Genomic DNA, 16,931 nt, shown 5'->3' on the forward strand with positions numbered 1-16,931 from the left:
ATGTGTTTTGCAATTATTTAATACTTAGATGTTACATTGAATAGACATATATTTAGAAACTTTTTAGAAGAATCAGCCAGTTTTAGACATGCTAATTAATGGAATCTAACAAATAGTTTTTTCTTTTTTTGAGACAGGGTCTCACTGTCACTCAGTCCGGAATGCAGTGGCGCAATCATGGCTTCCACGGCAACCTCAACCTCTTGGGCCCAAGTGATACTCCCACCTCAGCCTCTCAAATAGCTGGGACTATAGGCATTCATGTCATGTCCAGTTAATTTTTTTTTATTTTTTTGTAGAGACAGGGAGACAGGGTCTCACTTTGTTGCCCAGGCTGGTCTCAACTCCTGGGCTCAAGCAATCCCCCTGCCTCAGCCTCCCAAAGTGCTGGGATTACAGGCATGAGCCACAGCACTCAGCACAAATATTCTTGAATATATAACCATTTTCAATAATTACCAGGTCATTGGTAAATAACTTTGTCAGGTGTGTTGTTTAATGTAACTATGCCTCCCATTTCTAGTTCATGAATGAGTGGTTCCAAAGTCACAGTCAAACAGAGAAAAATAACGGTGCTCCTTGTTTTACTCCAAATTTGAATTTAAAGTGCTAGTTACATTATTGCACTGGTTACAGAGTAGTGTCTCCCTCAGTACATCTCATTTTATTCATAACGAAGGCATCTGTCTTCCTTTTAGGTAACATGCCAAGGATGCAATCTTATTGTACTAATAAAACGTTTGGCTATGTCTACCAAACATTTGAAAATTTGTCCATTTCCTTTCAGCAGCTTTAACAATGTTATTTAAGACTGTCACTTTTTTTTTTTTAACATAATCCAAGGTGCCAATGAAAGCTCTCTGGCCCCTAGATTACAAATGCCACCGAGAAATGATCCTGTCTTACTTGGTTCATGGCCATATTCCAAGTGCCTAGCGGAAGCCTGACAAATAGTAGGTGGTCAATAAAAGATTGCTGAAAACATGGAAATAACTAATTTGAATTATGTAAGTATGCACTTCTATCCTAGTTGTAGTTTCAACAAAAAGAAACCTAGAAACTAAAAACTAATAATAACGCCAAACATTGGGGCAACATTAAAATAAGAGGCTTTCAAGATAACCAATTTGAAAGGAAAGCATTCATGTTTGACAAAGTTCCATTATGGTTGTTAGAAAATCTGCTTAGTCTGTAGTCACTACTATGAATTTTATTAAAAGTCACTAGAACTCCACAGTCTTCCTTTAAAAAGACTAGCTCTAAAGAGAAGTAAAAGATGAGTAACAGTTTGTGTTATTGAATGCTGATTATGTGCCAGGTACTATGCTTGAAACCTCACACATTTCTTACTATTTATTTATTTATTTTGCCAGTACAACAGAATAGATTTTATTTCTCTTAGAGACAGGGTCTCACTCTGTTGCTCAGGCTGGAGTACAGTGGCTATTCACAGGCACAATCCCACTACTGATCTGCATGAGAGTTTTGACCTTCTTTGTTTCTGACCTAGACAGGTTCACTCCTCCTTAGGCAACCTGGGGGTTCCCTGCTCCCAGGAGGTCACCATATTGATGCCAAACTCAGTGTGGACACCCGACTGGCATAGCGTACTACAGCCCTAACTCCTGGGCTAAAGCGATCCTCCCACCCCAGCCTCCCAAGTAGCTGGGACAATAGGCACATGTTACTGCATCTGGTCACTTGTTTCATTTAATCCTCACAAACATTGTATGAAGCAGAATCTGAGTTATCTCTGTGTCTGATGAGAAAACAGATGCAGAGAGGTGAAGGGACCTGCCTTAGGTCATACAGCTACTAGTATGCAGTAGGAAGGCAGGTATTTCAACCCAAGCTACTGATCTTAACCATTTGGCTACGATGGCAGAGCCAGTTTCTTAAATCATAAAATCTCCAGGACAGCTTCAAGGTCTAAATGATCATGTGGAAAAGTGGCTACAGGGACTCAGTTAATTAGTTACCATCTCCTCTCCCACTTTCTTCATCTGGGGGCCTCCCAACCTGGCTCCTTAGGCAATGCTAACTTGTAGTTTGGGACAATAAACAGTGACCCAATAATTTGCTTCCTCCCTGCCTACAACTTTGGGGAGCTTTAGGATATTTTAAGCAATATGTGGTATTGTTTGATGAAGCCCACTGAAAGGGAAGTAAATATGTTGCTCAATTACAAAGTAATTGGGGAAGTTAAATACATTGCCTCAGGTCATACAGCTAGTAAGTGATGGAGCTGAGATTTGAATCCAGACATTTTTCCCCACACGGAGCTGAGATGTGAACTCAGACTTTTTCCCCCATGCAGTGTTCTTTCCACAACCGAAAGAGAAGCTGCATAAATTCAAGGTCAGTAATCCATATAGAAAGAGAAGATCAGAGAACAGAAGTCACAACAAATCTTAAAAATATGTGGAAGTAGATGAGAAATGCTGCCAGAGAAAGGCAAATTCAAAATGACACAAATGTTGCAGAATTAGGATTACGGCAGCATCTCTAAGAAGATGCTAACACCATGTTAGTACAGGATTGGAAAGGGTGGCTGCATCAACTTTTTAAATCTCTTCTAACGAAGACGCAGTAATTATGATAGAAATGACTACACTCTTCTTTGTTAATAATTCAGCAAGCACAGAGCATAAGTACCATATGAAAGCTGTGGTTACATAAATAAAAGATTGATGGACAAGAATATATATATACTATATATTTTGTGGGTTTGGAATATATGTGTGTATACGTATACACACATACATGTATGACACACGTGTTTGTGTATGCATATGTATACACACACAGATATAAGTTTATATATGTATATATTCAAAACCTACAAAAGTTTTTGTATGGGCCATCAATTAAAAGTAAAGCATGAATCTAAAAAAAATGCATTTTTGAGCAATCAGGGAAATTTAAATATAGACTGAGTATTAGATGATATTAAAGAACTATTGTTATTTAGGGGTAAGTTAATGGCACTCTAGTTGTTTTTAAGTTCTATCATTCAAGCCTGGCAAGGTGGCGTGCACCTGTAATCCCAGCTATTTAGGAGGCTGAGGCTGGAGAACCGCTTGAGCCAGGAGAGTTCAACACCAGCCTGGGGAACACAGCAAGACCTCATCTTTAAAAAAAAAAAAAAAAAAAAAAAAGAGTTCTATAATTCAATTACTATTAATACATCCAAGTCATTTCATTTTCAATCTGGATTGAATATTGGCATTATTGCTTATTTTTTATGAAAATAGAGCAGCTGAATTGTCAGTGTCAAAGCTTTGGGGTTTTTTGCTGTTGTCTTTATCCTCCGATTGGGACTTTTGAATTTAATGTCTAGTTACAGGATTCAACTTTTGTGACACATTAGGAAGACACTGTCTCTAATATTTAGGAACCAGAATTATCTGAACATATTAATCAACAGTATACAGAACTGTCCTGTCCCACTGACCAGGTCACAATGAGCTCTACAAAATAAACAAGTGCAAATGCTTTGTTGTCTAAACTTCTTTACTTTCTAACCAATGCTTAATAGTAATTTTTTTTTGAAATGACCAAAAAAGTATGGGTCACAGTGCTGTTTGCCATGTACAAAGGGCAAGAGAAAAGCACCTCTCCCCTAAGCTAAAAGATTAAAAACTTGGAGAAAAGGGAGTTCAGGTGATCACGAACTCTCTACTCTGTGTTTCTACAGAACTCACTTGCTCATCTACGATTCAAAAGCTGCCCTTTGCATGAGTACCTTTCAGTTTAGGAATGTAATTTCAACAGTGCATCCATTTTATCCAAATTCCAATAGAGTAAGAAAAAAATTGGATGCTCCATAACATTTCTTATAAAAGAATTTTATCAGTAACACTGTACTTTCTAGCCAATGCTTAAAAAACTGTTGACTGTCTCTTTTCTGTAACTTTCTGGTATGTGAGAGTATCTCAGATTAATAACTCAAAAAAACAGTATACACAACCACTTTATCAGATGTCCAGATGACAAGAAACTTGAAAAGATACTAAGTATGTTGGGTAACAGCTTGTCTGGCTAGAATAAAAGGTCCAATTGAACATACACAGAGGTGTGCCACCATTTGGAAGCTGGCAAGACAGCCCTGCTGTTGTTTTCTTCATCTACCTAGTGAGATGGGAGACGCACGTTTGATTATAGGGTGTCAAATACCGGCATCAGATAGTATCTGCTGGGGGCTCTGATGGGTACAGCACAGCTACCCAAATACCAAAGGATTTGCTTTCATGAACAACTTTCCCCAAGAACTGTGCCCTGCTACTCAAAAGATGATCAGGGAGACCCACAACATCAGCACAAGCTTAGAGAAAACTTGTTACAAAGGCAGAAGCTCTGCCTCACCCAGACTTTCTGAATCAGAATCTGCATTTTAACCAAATTCCCAGGTAATTTGTATGCACATCACAGTTTGAAAAGCATGGATTTAGAGGATTATTGTCAGTTTGGAAGGAGGTTTCCACAAAACTCTTCCTTGGGCCCCTCCTGTTCCTCATTTTTACTGATGAGTCACATAAGGATATTGAAGAACCCTCATCAAATCCCAAGTAACACTAAACTAGAAGGAAACAATTGCAAAAGCACCTCTTGGAAGAGACCAGGCTTGACAGCTGATCACGTAAAAGAATATAAACAACCAGAGATTTGCTAAAGAAAAAAAAAAGTAAGGCACACTTGAGTATACTGCTACAAATCAGACCACTTCTAGAGAACTAGCTATAAGTCTGGTCACACATTCTAAGTGACTGACAGTGAACTGTGGTCACACAGTTTGGTGAGAAACAAGGAGGGAAAGGGATCTGGAAATTCTATCGAAAAGAATGGCTGAACTGAAGGATCTTAAACCTGAAGAAGAGGTGACAATGTGGGGACATCATGGTCATATTCACACATCTGAAAGATTGTCTCAAGACATTTCATTCTACAAATGTGTTTTTGAGCATCTGCTATGTGCCAGGCACCATGCCAGGAGCTAAGGATACAGAGAGTGAAAACCAGAACAGATCTCTAATTTTCTGATGTTTCTTGCCTAATGGAAGAAACCTGCCTGTTTTTCCAGAAAGCACAACTCCAGACAATCAAAGGCAAGTGGAAGGACATGGGCACCATTCAAGGAAGCCCCTTCTGGCCAGAAGGCTACAGCTTTGTAAAGAAGTGAATAGACAAAAGTTCCGAGGCTCCCCAGGGCTGGAAAGAATGAGTTAAGAAAGGATGACCACCTCCCAGGGAGTAGTAGCTCAGGGGACTAACAGGCCAATGCTAATATTCCAGGGCTAGAGGATGCTTGGGGTCAATGACATTAATCCAAGATTTGTTTAGAATTATGCTACATTCAATTTAGCTGACAACAAAATTTTTAAAACTTAACAATTTAGAATTAACAGCTAAATTTTGTATGTAAATGATGTCATACCTTAAACTTATGAGTAAATGATGTCTAAGTTCTCATTTAGTAATAGTTTGTTGTTGTTGCTGTTTTGAGATGGAGTCCCACTCTGTCTCCCAGGCTGAAGTACAGCGATATGATCTCGGCTAACTGCAACCCCTGCCTCCTGAGTTCAAGTGATTCTCCTGCCTCAGCCTCCCGAGTAGCTGGGATTACAGGCACCCCCCCACCACACCTGGGTAATTTTTGTATTTTTAGTAGAGATGGAGTTTCAACATGTTGGCCAGGCTAGTCTCGAACTCCTGACCTCAAGTGATCCATCCACCTCAGCCTCCCAAAGTGCTGGGATTACAGGCATGAGCCACTGTGCCCAGCCTTAGCAATAGTTTTTAAAACCTAAGATTTAATAAAAATCCACATTATTTATTGATTGATTTTTTGAGATGGAGTCTTGCTCTGTTGCCTAGGCTGGAGTGCAGTGACACAATCTCTGCTCACTGTAATCTCTGCCTCCTGGGTTCAGGCGATCCTCCCACCTCAGCCAGACCATACGCATGTGCCATCACACCTGGCTAATTTTTATATTTTTTGGTAGAGATAGGTTTTCAACATGTTGGCCAGACTGGTCTTGAACTCCTGACCTCAAGTGATCCATGCGCCTCGGCCTCCCAAAGCGCTGGGATTATACATAGGCATGAGCCCCTGCGCCCAGCCCACATTAATATTTTAAGTAAAAACTCTGTATTAATGACTTATTTCAATTGTACTCTTCTCTCAGCTATCCCTCAAACTACTATATTTCCAGTTCCTTGATGTAGCTTCAGAGTTGCTCATTCCACTCCCAAAATTATCCTAAAGAAATAATTCCATTTCTTCTTCCAGAAGAACAAAAGAGGGAGGGGTGGGGAAACTAGTTGCCTGAGATGCAAATAAACAATATTTATAAAGAAAAATAATACATAAAACACTTCAGTAGAATGCAATCCTTTTCATAGAATGCAGCAAGGCATAAAAAATTAAAAATATATAATAAGACAATATTTAAGGTAAACTGAGAAACTATCATATATAATTATGCAGGTTACATAGCAACATGGAAAAATGCTTACAATGACATGGGAACAATACAAACTTGTATAATTCTAGCCATATAAAATTATGCATGCATGTGATCAAAAAGTAGGAAAAAAGAAAATCCAAGAATTTTCTAGAGTATTAGAATTCCCTTTTTAAAAAATTTAAACTTTCTATTTCACTGTTGGCTGTACAATACTTTTATAATAAATTTATCAGGAGCCAGCCAGGCGCGGTGGCTCACGCCTGTAATCCCAGCACTTTGGGGAGGTCGAGGCGGGAGATCGAGACCATCCTGGCTAACATGGTGAAACCCCATCTCTACTAAAAATACAAAAAAGTTAGCCAGGCGTGGTAGCGGGCACCTGTAGTCCCAGCTACTCAGGAGGCTGAGGCAGGAGAATGGCCTGAACCCGGGAGGCGGAGCTTGCAGTGAGCCGAGATTGCGCCACTGCACTCCAGCCTGGGCGACACAACGAGACTCCGTCTCAAAAAAAAAAAAAAATTATCAGGAGCCAAAATAACTAACTCATTACAAGTGTAAGAATTTGTACATTCGCAAGAAATGAAATAGTAAAAGGTGACACACACAGTTTGATCTTCTCGTTCAGTTGGTTGTCCTTTATAATGCTATTTAAGTTCATAAACAACCAAAAAGTAAAGATAATGAGATTCATGTTATTAAAAGTGCCTAACATTTGTGGAAAGCAAAAAGGACTTTGTTCAGCAACTGCCCATGAACTTTGGGTAAAAGCAAAACTAAATTTCTGGAGTCTATTTTGCTTTTCACCTTATTTGATCTCACTTAACATCACTCATGCCAAGTTGAGTTTTTTTCCTCTTCTTTTCCCTTCTCCTCAAGTTCATAAAGTAAAAAAAAAAAAAAAAAAAAAAAAAAAAAAAAAAAAATACATGGCAGCTCTGTTACAGTCCTCACTGTTCTCCCAGCAATACTATGTATGAAATGCGGCTTTCTGGAATGGGCCACAGAGAAAGTAAGATAAGAGAAATATCCAAATACTACCTGTCACCACGGGGATCACCAGGACTGAGTTGACTTAGGGCCAAGAGATCTGAGCTCAAGTTTTCCACATCTATAACATGGAAATAATACTACTTGCCCCAAAAGGTGATGTCACAAGAAAGTCCCTAGCACATGGTGATGCTCAAGAAATGCTCATCTCATCCTTTTTTCCCCACCTTCTGCCACACACGTGCACATGAGCTCTGCCCATTCTAAAACTACAGGGGTCCTTAAGTCTACTATTTCCCAGATGCCCACTCCAACTTTCTCTACCCTGCTCTCTGTCTTGGCAGGCTAATCATTATGAATCACATCAACAGGTCCCTATGACCTTGACCTCTGATTGGGTTTAGCCAATGCTAAGTCCCAGAAAGAGATCGGGGGAGGAAGGGAGAAGCGAGGGAGGGAATAAAGTTGAGAATTCATTCTACTTGTGGCGTATGCATCCCTCAACCAAAATTCACTGCTCCTCTCAAGGTAGCCTCTTGACACTTGATAATGACAATCTCTTCTGGCTCCTGATAACTACTTTCATCCATTTTCATCCATTTGTCTCTTTGGAGCTAGGGGTAGTAACAGCTCCACCATCACTATAAACCCTGGTTCCTGCACTATCCCTTATGGTTTTCTCTACATCCTGCCCATACCTCTTGAAGTAAACTCTCTTGGAATTATCCTAAGTTGAGAATGCCAACTTTTCCTGTTGGGACTCTGACAGATAAAGTTCTGTCTATAGAATTCCAGAATCATTTATATCTTGAATCAACACAAGGAGAATGGCAGTTCTGGGGTTTCAGATTGAGATGCACATGCAGGCAGGATCTGATAATTCTAAAATACTCCCAAGTATTGATGATTCAAAACTCCCAAGGCTAGCCTGTGTTCCCCCAATAGGCCTGAGTTGGTCCCACAGCTGAGCCATTCTCCTCAGACCCCAGAGGAATAACATCAGCTTCTAAACCCTTGGGACCCTGTGAATTGACAAGAAGTTCTAGGCACCCCCATGTTTTAAATCTTCAGTCCAGCCTCAGTCAGTGAGTCCCAGTTTTATCTCAAACTAATAAAGGTGTCCAAATTACCAATCTCTCAGAGACTGGGGGAAGGGGAAACATAGCAGCCTCGCAAACATCCCATCTTTCCTATTGTGCCATGGTTTCATGTGGAGTTAGAAAATAGAGCACAAGAATGGACTCTCCAAAACCAAAGGGTTGTGTTAGCCTCGGATGGAGTGGGAAAGAATATGAAGTAACCCCCCTACACACACCTTTCTCTCCTTTCCAATTCCCAGAGCAAGTGAGGAAATGGGGACCTAGTTACCCAGGGTAAGTAAGTATGTAAGGCAGAGCCAGGACTGAATAAAGGCAACTGACTGCCAGTCCAACTTTAATGACAACGGCCATATTTTCTCCCATTTGGTCTGTGCTGTCCAGGTGTCCAAAGGCGAGTTAAAGGAAACACCCCTCAGTTGAGTCCTAGCCCACCATAATGTGTCAGACTTTTACTGGTTTAAGATGCACTTACAAGGTCTAGAGTGGCCCTAGTCATCCTAAGACTGAAGAACTCACAGAAGTTTCATCTATTTCTATTGAGTCTAAAGATATAGAGCTAAGGACAGCCTTAGCTGTCAGCACCCGCCATGTGCAGAGGGCTCTTCCAGATGCCCTGGTGAGTTAAAAAGAGTCATCCAATTCTTTTTTTTTTTATTTATATTTTAAGAAGACCAGAGAAGTAAATACAAAGTACAAGAGAAAGGAACTGTACACAGAGCATTACCCAGCAGGAAGGCATTAAAGCAGCAGCATAGTGGCACATTAGGAGCTCGTTGCTCTGGGTCACACTGTGACATGTGAAACATGGAGCATGCCCCAGCCTTTCCAAACCTCCATTTCTTCATCATTAAAATGAGGTCAATAACACTATCCACTATTAATGACACTACTATTAACACAGGGTTAATGATACATGTAGCAGTCCTTAGCACAGTGAGTGACATGCTATGAGGGCTCAATAAATGCTTGCTTTTATAATCAGACCAAACTGAAGTTGGTTAAGTCTCCTCTAGCTGGAAATCAAATTCTACAGCCTTACTGGCATCTTACCTGCACCCTAGGGCTTAAAAGCCTTTGTTTACTTTTAGAGGAAGTATATTACAATATTAACAAATGTAACAAAACATAGCAGTAAAACTATGCTAGTAAGATCACTGAGCTAGAAATACTTCATTGAATAGATGTTTTAGAACCTACATTCAGAGGGGAGTTCCATGAGAGTGGGTGTCAGCCAGGAGTAAGTTTAGTAAGGGACTGAACCATTAAAATGCTAACAAAACCTCAGGATAATTCATTAGGATCACAATATGCAGACTAAGGAGGAAGTTTACATCTGAAGAAACCAGGGATCCAGAATCTGAAGAGAGGGACTTGGGAGATGAAAGTGAAGAAAGCTTCTTCAGGTACTTGAAGGGTTGCATATGTTATATATGATGGGAAAGACTAAGGAAGTCCAGTGGGTCAAGAGTCCCAGGACAAATATTGTGGCTTCCTATGAGGAAGACTGTTCTTGTGCTAACCAAGAGGTGTCCCCTACGTAAGATGATGAGTTGGCATCTCACCAGTGGGCATACTGGAAAACCCTGTGGTCACTTCCTACCTGAAAGTCTGCAATCCTAATGTCTTATTTGGACACCAGAAATAAACATAATTGGGAATCAATAGAGTGCAGCTCCTATGTGCCAGCATTTCTCACCCTGCTAACAACAAAACCTTCAGAGAATAATATAACAGCTCAAATTTAGTCTGCTATTACATTTACTTGGGCAGTCTTATTCCATTTGAGAGGCATTCTAGTTAAAGGTAAATAACAACTCTATAATGTTTTTTCTTAAAGATAAATTAATCAGCCCAACACTATATCAAAAAAGGCACAAGGATAATCTGTCACATGATTTTGAGTAATTATGCTAAGGGTTTCATTTAATCAAAGGCATCATTGCTTTTTTGCTCTGCTAGGCTCAGAAAACTAAACATTGAAAAAAATCAAGAAATATTCTAAAAATCACAGCCACTGAGAAGAAAGTGATTCAACATTATATTTTCTTTGTTCCACCTGCCAAAAATGATAGAGTGAATTTGGAGCTGAGAAAGACAAAAAGAAAAAATTCAAGAGTAGAAAAAGACATATGAAAGACAAGCATGAGGCTAGGTGCGGTGGCTCATGCCTGTAATCTCAGCACTTTGGGAGGCTGAGGCAGGTGGATCACTTGAGGTCATGAGTTCGAGACCAGCTTTGCCAACACGGCGAAACCCTATCTCTACTAAAAATACAAAAATTAGCCAGGCATGGTGGCAGGCACCTGTATTCCCAGTTACTCAGGAGGCTGAGGCAGGAGAATCGCTTGAACCTGGAAGGCAGAGGTTGCAGTAAGCCAAATATTACACCACTGCATTCCAGCCTGGGCGACAGAAGGAGAAGAAGGAGACTCGGTCTCAAAAAAAAAAAAAAAAAAAAAAGCCAAGCATGAGAGTTTAGTGACATTAACCACCCAAAACCTTCCTGAAACTCCAGATGTATGATTTGTATACCTAAGCATATAGTGCAGTCTCCACCCGCGTTTTCTTTTTCCTTCACCACAATGAGTTGGGTAGCAGGAGAGAAGGATATAAAGGCAGAAGCTCATCTTTCATTCAGTCTATTTGCTGCCTTTGACGGCTATCACAATTCAGCACACAAGAATGTTAGTGCTCATCACCATGGAGGCAATTGTAATGTCAAACCCAGAACTGTGGAATCACAAAATATGAGACACATGTAACAGGCTTTGGGATGGGAGGGTAGGAGTGGAGATCCAAATTACCAGGCAAGAAATTCAAGGCTTCAGAAGCCCTTTTGAAGCAATTCAGATTCTTAGTCATTTTTTTTTCCTTTCAGAAAATTGAGACACTGATTATTTCTAGTTAAATTAATCTGTTCATAGAATATATTATACCAGAATTCCAGCCTTCAGACCCAGTGAGAAATGAATGCACTATTAAAGGATATACAATCAAGTATAGATACCTTCATTATAAAGTGTGGCTTTCACCTGAACTGGAGAAAGCAATCTTTGTCCTAGATCACGCAGTATTTCATTGTAACTCTATCCCTCAAGCACTACTAGACTGGGGAGACAAGTCAACAGGGTGCTAAGTGCTATCACAGAGGTAATCTACTTTATGCTCCAGGAGAAATGGAAAAGGAGAAGTGGCACCTACCCAGCCCGAGGGGTCAGAGAAGGCTTTTGGAGGAGGGGCACCTGAGACGAAGCTGGAAAGGCAAGTAGTGTTGGCCTAATGGGCAGGATAGGGTTTATTCTATGCAGAGGGGCACAGGGGAAGCCAGGAGGACCAACTGGAAACCCAGAAGACTGGGGAATGCTAACATTTCAGGGCTGGCCTAAGGACTTGGGGACCAGAAAGGGGCCACAGAATGATGGGTCAGAAAGACAGACGGGCCAGAAAGACAGAAGGGCTAAGGAGGAGGGCCTTTCAAGGCAGAAGTCGCTCACAGTGTGAAGGAACGCAAACCAAGTCAGACAAGGGCTAAAAGGCCTAGACTTAGGTAACCACAAAGGGCCTAAGGTGCCCTTTGCCTGAGACATTTCAGGGAAGTAAGTGGCAGTGACAGAGGCCAGAGTACAGAGGGTTAAATTGCAGGAGGTGAGGAAGTAGAGACCATGGATAAGGCTACTCGCAGGAAGCCTGGCTAAGAACAGGGAGTGAGCTAACAGGAAATACTGGATCAAATTGTATTTTCCAGCCTGAACCTCTTCTTTAAGCTCCAGACTTTCATCTCCTCTTGAATTCCTCCTTTTCCCCCACCGACTACACTCAATTTATATTCTGGCCTCCCCACTACCCATTCTCCATACAACAGTCTGGGTGGTCTTTTTAAACTATAAATCAGGCCATCATACCACCCCATACTCAAAATATACAATGGCTTCTCACTGACCTTAGAATAGAATCTTAATGCCTTGCTATGCCCTGTAAGTTCTTGAGTGATATGGGACCTGCTTTGCGCTCCAGTATCTTCTCATACACCTCTCCTCCTCTTAGTCTTGTACCAACCTGGTCTCCTTTCAGTCCTTGAATTCATTAAGAACAGTCCTGCCTTAGGATTTTTGCCCTTCCTCCTTTACCAGGAACTAGTCCTAGGCCCCCAAGCCCTTCCCAAGCTCTGTCCATCGAGGCAGGAGCCTCTTCATTCCCTCCTGTGTTTGCACAGGTCCTGCCTCACCCTTCTCAGAGCTCCCTCCACCATTTTGTGCAAATAAACACCCACACACCCCAAAATCACCTCCCATCCAGCAGATGCAGGCAAAGGGTGAGTTACCTATAAAGGAACAGGCCAGGCCGGGCGCGGTGGCTCACGCCTGTAATCCCAGCACTTTGGGAGGCCGAGGCGGGCGGATCACGAGGTCAGGAGATCGAGACCATCCCGGCTAAAACGGTGAAACCCCGTCTCTACTAAAAATACAAAAAATTAGCCGGGCGTAGTGGCGGGCGCCTGTAGTCCCAGCTACTTGGGAGGCTGAGGCAGGAGAATGGCGTGAACCCGGGAGGCGGAGCTTGCAGTGAGCCGAGACTGCGCCACTGCACTCCAGCCTGGGCGACGGAGCGAGACTCCATCTCAAAAAAAAAAAAAAAAAAAAAAAAAAAAAGGAACAGGCCACCGCAAGTGCTCTTCCAACCCCGTGCCCAACGGTTTACCTCAAATCAACTTCTTCAGAGCCCAGGTTTTCCAGCCCTCCCAGTGGGATGTTTCCTGGGTCTCACTAGTAGGGGCTTTGATGTCAAAAGACCCAGGCCCTAGCTCATTTCTCTGCTGCCAATTAGTTGTGTGCCCTTTATCAAGGCACCACTGCATCAATTTTCTTATCCTAAAAAAGATAAACAGTGTCTCCCTAGCCTTTAAGAAGCTCACCACAAAGGTGTACTAACACCCCAGTTCTCAGCTCCCTCTTCCCTGACCCAGGGACCTCTCTCCCACCTTTGCATCACTTGCCTTCTTTACCAGGAACAAGTCCTAGGCCCCTTGGCCCTTCCCGAACTCTGCCCATAGAGGCAGGAGCTTCTCCATTCCCTCCTGGGGTTGCGCAGGTCCTGCACCTCACTCTTCTCAGAGCCACCTCAACCATTTTCTGCAAATAAACACCCACACACACCCAATTCACCACCTATCCAGTAGACAGATGCCTATTCTCAACCATCTCTCTTTTAGCCTTGGTCACTAGCTCCTATCCTAGGCCTGGTATACAAAAGCCTCCCAATCATGCCCTCTCACTCTCTTCTCCAACACTGCTGGCAGGCCACTGACACCCAGGGCAACCTGGAAACCATGGTTTGAAGATGGCAGAGCATCATTAGTCTGGGCCCCCTCCATCCCCACAGGTGACTGGATTTTAAATGAGCACAGAAATGTCTACTGTTTTAAGCCACTGAAGTTTCTGCAGGGTTTATCTATTACAGTAGCTAGTGTTTCTCTACACAATACAGGCTGAATTAAAATGGCAGCTGGAGAGAAGGGAGAGGACTCTAGTGGTAATGAAGAAAGCCTGGAGCTAGGATTAGGCATAGCCTGACGACCATCTCCATTTCTGTATTACTTATCCTCTTCAAGTACTTTAAAATATGTTTTCTCATTTGACACACTTTCATCAATACTATTGTTATTAACAATTCACAAATGAAAAAAATGGACTTAGTGAAGTTAAGGTATGTCCAAGATCCCATAGCTGATAAGTGGCGAAGCCAAACTGGACACAGGACCCCTGACTCTTAGTCTAACAGCATCTTCCCTGCAGCATCTAATCTCTCAAAGCCACATTCTAGTGCCACATCAGACACACTGAACTAAGGTACAAGGGTGCTAGAATGAAACAAAAAGGATAGGTAGTCTAGTAGAACTGATAAAAGGCAGATTGTGGAGGTCTTCGTAAATATCAGACTGTGGAGTATAACTTTTATTCAAAACACAATGAGAAGCAAAAATCAACTCCCACTTCCAAGCTCCACACAGTAATTTTATATTTTACCTGCCTTCAAAGACCTTACTGCATCATCTACCCTTGGCTATCAGTGGATACCAATGCTCCACTTTACACAAAAAAATAGAAGCTTTTACAAGGGCAAAAATTCCAGCCCCTTGCCTTCTATAGACTTCTCTGTATCCCCAAATAGCCTTTCCTCTTTCCACACAGTCAAATGAAACAGGCACTCCTCCTCTGGCAATGCTACTGGCCATCTCCTGTGCATGCCCCTCCATCCACAGAAGAGACCCTGTTCAAGCACTTATCCTTTCTCTTCCTGAATCTCTGATTTTTTTCCTTTCTCCTGGCTCCTCCTTTCCTCGGCCTCTGAACATGCTAGAGCCCCTCTCATCCTAAAATCACCCCTTCCTTGGGAAGCCCATAGCCCCCTCTTATCCTCACACTTCCTAGCTGAGCTCTTTTAAGCATCAGCAGTGAAAATGCATCTCTACTTCATTACCATGGATTCTCTACTCCACCCCCACCCAAGGTAATGTGGTGGTGGGATGCTGAAACATTCACCTCCAGTGATACCTCTTAAGAGCTAAATCCAATGGACAACTTCCAACATTTCTCTTACTTTACCTTTTCATGGCACTTAACACTGCTGTACTCCCACCTTCTTGAAATTATCCCCTGCCTTAGTTTCCATGGCCCCATTCTCTCTTGATCTTCCCCCTGTCTGTCTACTCCTACTTGGTTTCCAGTATAGTCTCCTCCCCTCTGCCTCCTCACTAAATGTTGGTATTTCCTGGGGTTCCATCTTTATACTTCCTCTTACTCTACATACTATACTTTCTGTTTGAAATCATCCACAGATATAACTTCAACTGACAGCTACACACTGGAGACTTCCACAGTGTGTAGCTGTGGAAGTGTAGCTATATCTCCACAGTCCAGACCACTCATGTGAGCTCTCCACAATCTGGCTACACGTGCCTGCCAGTATTTCCACCTGGATTCCATGGGTGGAATTCCAGCTCAAACTCAACATGGCTAAAACCACAGCAAGCATCTTGTTTACCATGCTTATTCCTCTTCTTACTGCATCCATAAGGAGAGCATTTATTATTGTCTCAGTAAGGGCTCTACAGAGAAATAGAACCAATATGAAACAACTATATATATGTGTGTGTGAATGGATATCTGTATGAATACACAGTCATACTCACACACTAAGATTTATTTTAAGAACTGGCTCACGCAATTGTAGGGCTGACAAGTCTTAAATTTTGGGCAGACCAGCAGGCTAGAAATGGAGGCAAGAATTGCTGTTGCAGTTTTGAACTCCCCTACTCGAACAAGTACCCAGGAGACAGGTACTCTCCTCTATATCCCCAGCATCTTACACAGACTTGACACACAGCAGAAGCTCAGAAAGTGTTGGCTAATGGCCAAGTGGGTATAAAGTGAGATGTTATTAAATGAGAATGGGACAATAGGATGAATCATCATGGGGAAGAATCAAGACTTGACCAAGGACTATGTTACAAATCAAGACATAGCCCTTCTGGGGCATTCATTTGCCAGAATTACCGCATCACTACACCCATGACTGAACAAGGACCATTACACAGATAGAAGCATATCCATTCAATACTATATTTGAATGTCTCAACAACCCTGTTAAGTTGGCATGGCAAAGAAAAGGTCACATTTTATGAGTAAAATTGAGGTTCAAAGATTAAGGGTCTTGTCTAGGTTGCTACAAAAAATACCTACAACGAAATGTCTTAGTTGTTCAGTGATACGCAAGGTAAGAGGGAACATTAAAACAACAGAAAGTTGGCTGGGAGCGGTGGTTCATGCCTGTAATCCCAGCACTTTGGGAAGCCAATGCGGGTGGATTGCTTGATCCCAGGTGAAACCCTGCCTCTACAAAAAATACAAAAATTAGCCAGGCATGTTGGTGCACACCTGTGGTCCCAGCTACTCGGGAGGCTGAGGAGGGAGGCTACTTGATCCCAGGAGGTAGAAGCTGCAGTAAGCTAGGATCACACCACTGCACTCCAGTCTGGGCAACAGAGCAAGGCCCTGTCTCAAAAACCAACCAGCTGGGTACGGTGGCTCACGCCTGTAATCTCAGCACTTTGGGAGGCCGGGACGGGCGGATCACGAGGCCAGGAGATCAAGACCATCCTGGCTAACATGGTGAAACCCCGTCTCTACTAAAAATACAAAAAATTAGCCAGGCGTGGTGGCGGGCGCCTGTAGTCCCAGCTACTCAGGAGGCTGAGGCAGGAGAATAGTGTGAACCCGGGAGGCGGAGCTTGCAGTGAGCCGAGATCGCGCCACTGCACTCCAGTCTGGGTGACAGAGCGAGACTCTGTCTCAAAAAAAATATAAATAAATAAATAAAT

The 16,931-nt window shown here is 42.3% G+C and overlaps 1 protein-coding gene and 1 pseudogene across 23 annotated transcripts in view; both read right to left on the reverse strand.

Moving 5' to 3' along the window:
- ZHX3 (zinc fingers and homeoboxes 3) overlaps window positions 1-16,931 on the reverse strand; it is a 139,277-nt gene that overhangs the window by 110,425 nt on the left and 11,921 nt on the right. For 10 of the 23 annotated variants that reach the window (XM_005260341.5, NM_015035.4, NM_001384323.1 and 7 more), the window contains exon 1: window positions 11,087-11,241. The exons of the other annotated variants lie outside the window; for them this stretch is intronic. The gene's annotated coding sequence lies outside the window, so the exon portion shown is untranslated. Of the gene's footprint in view, window positions 1-11,086; window positions 11,242-16,931 lie in introns of those variants that run through there. 23 annotated transcript variants of the gene reach the window in all.
- Window positions 1,401-1,698, reverse strand: RN7SL615P (RNA, 7SL, cytoplasmic 615, pseudogene; annotated as a pseudogene).

The sequence above is a fragment of the Homo sapiens genome, chromosome 20 (genome assembly GCF_000001405.40).
Source record: "Homo sapiens chromosome 20, GRCh38.p14 Primary Assembly".
NCBI classification, from domain to species: domain Eukaryota; kingdom Metazoa; phylum Chordata; class Mammalia; order Primates; family Hominidae; genus Homo; species Homo sapiens.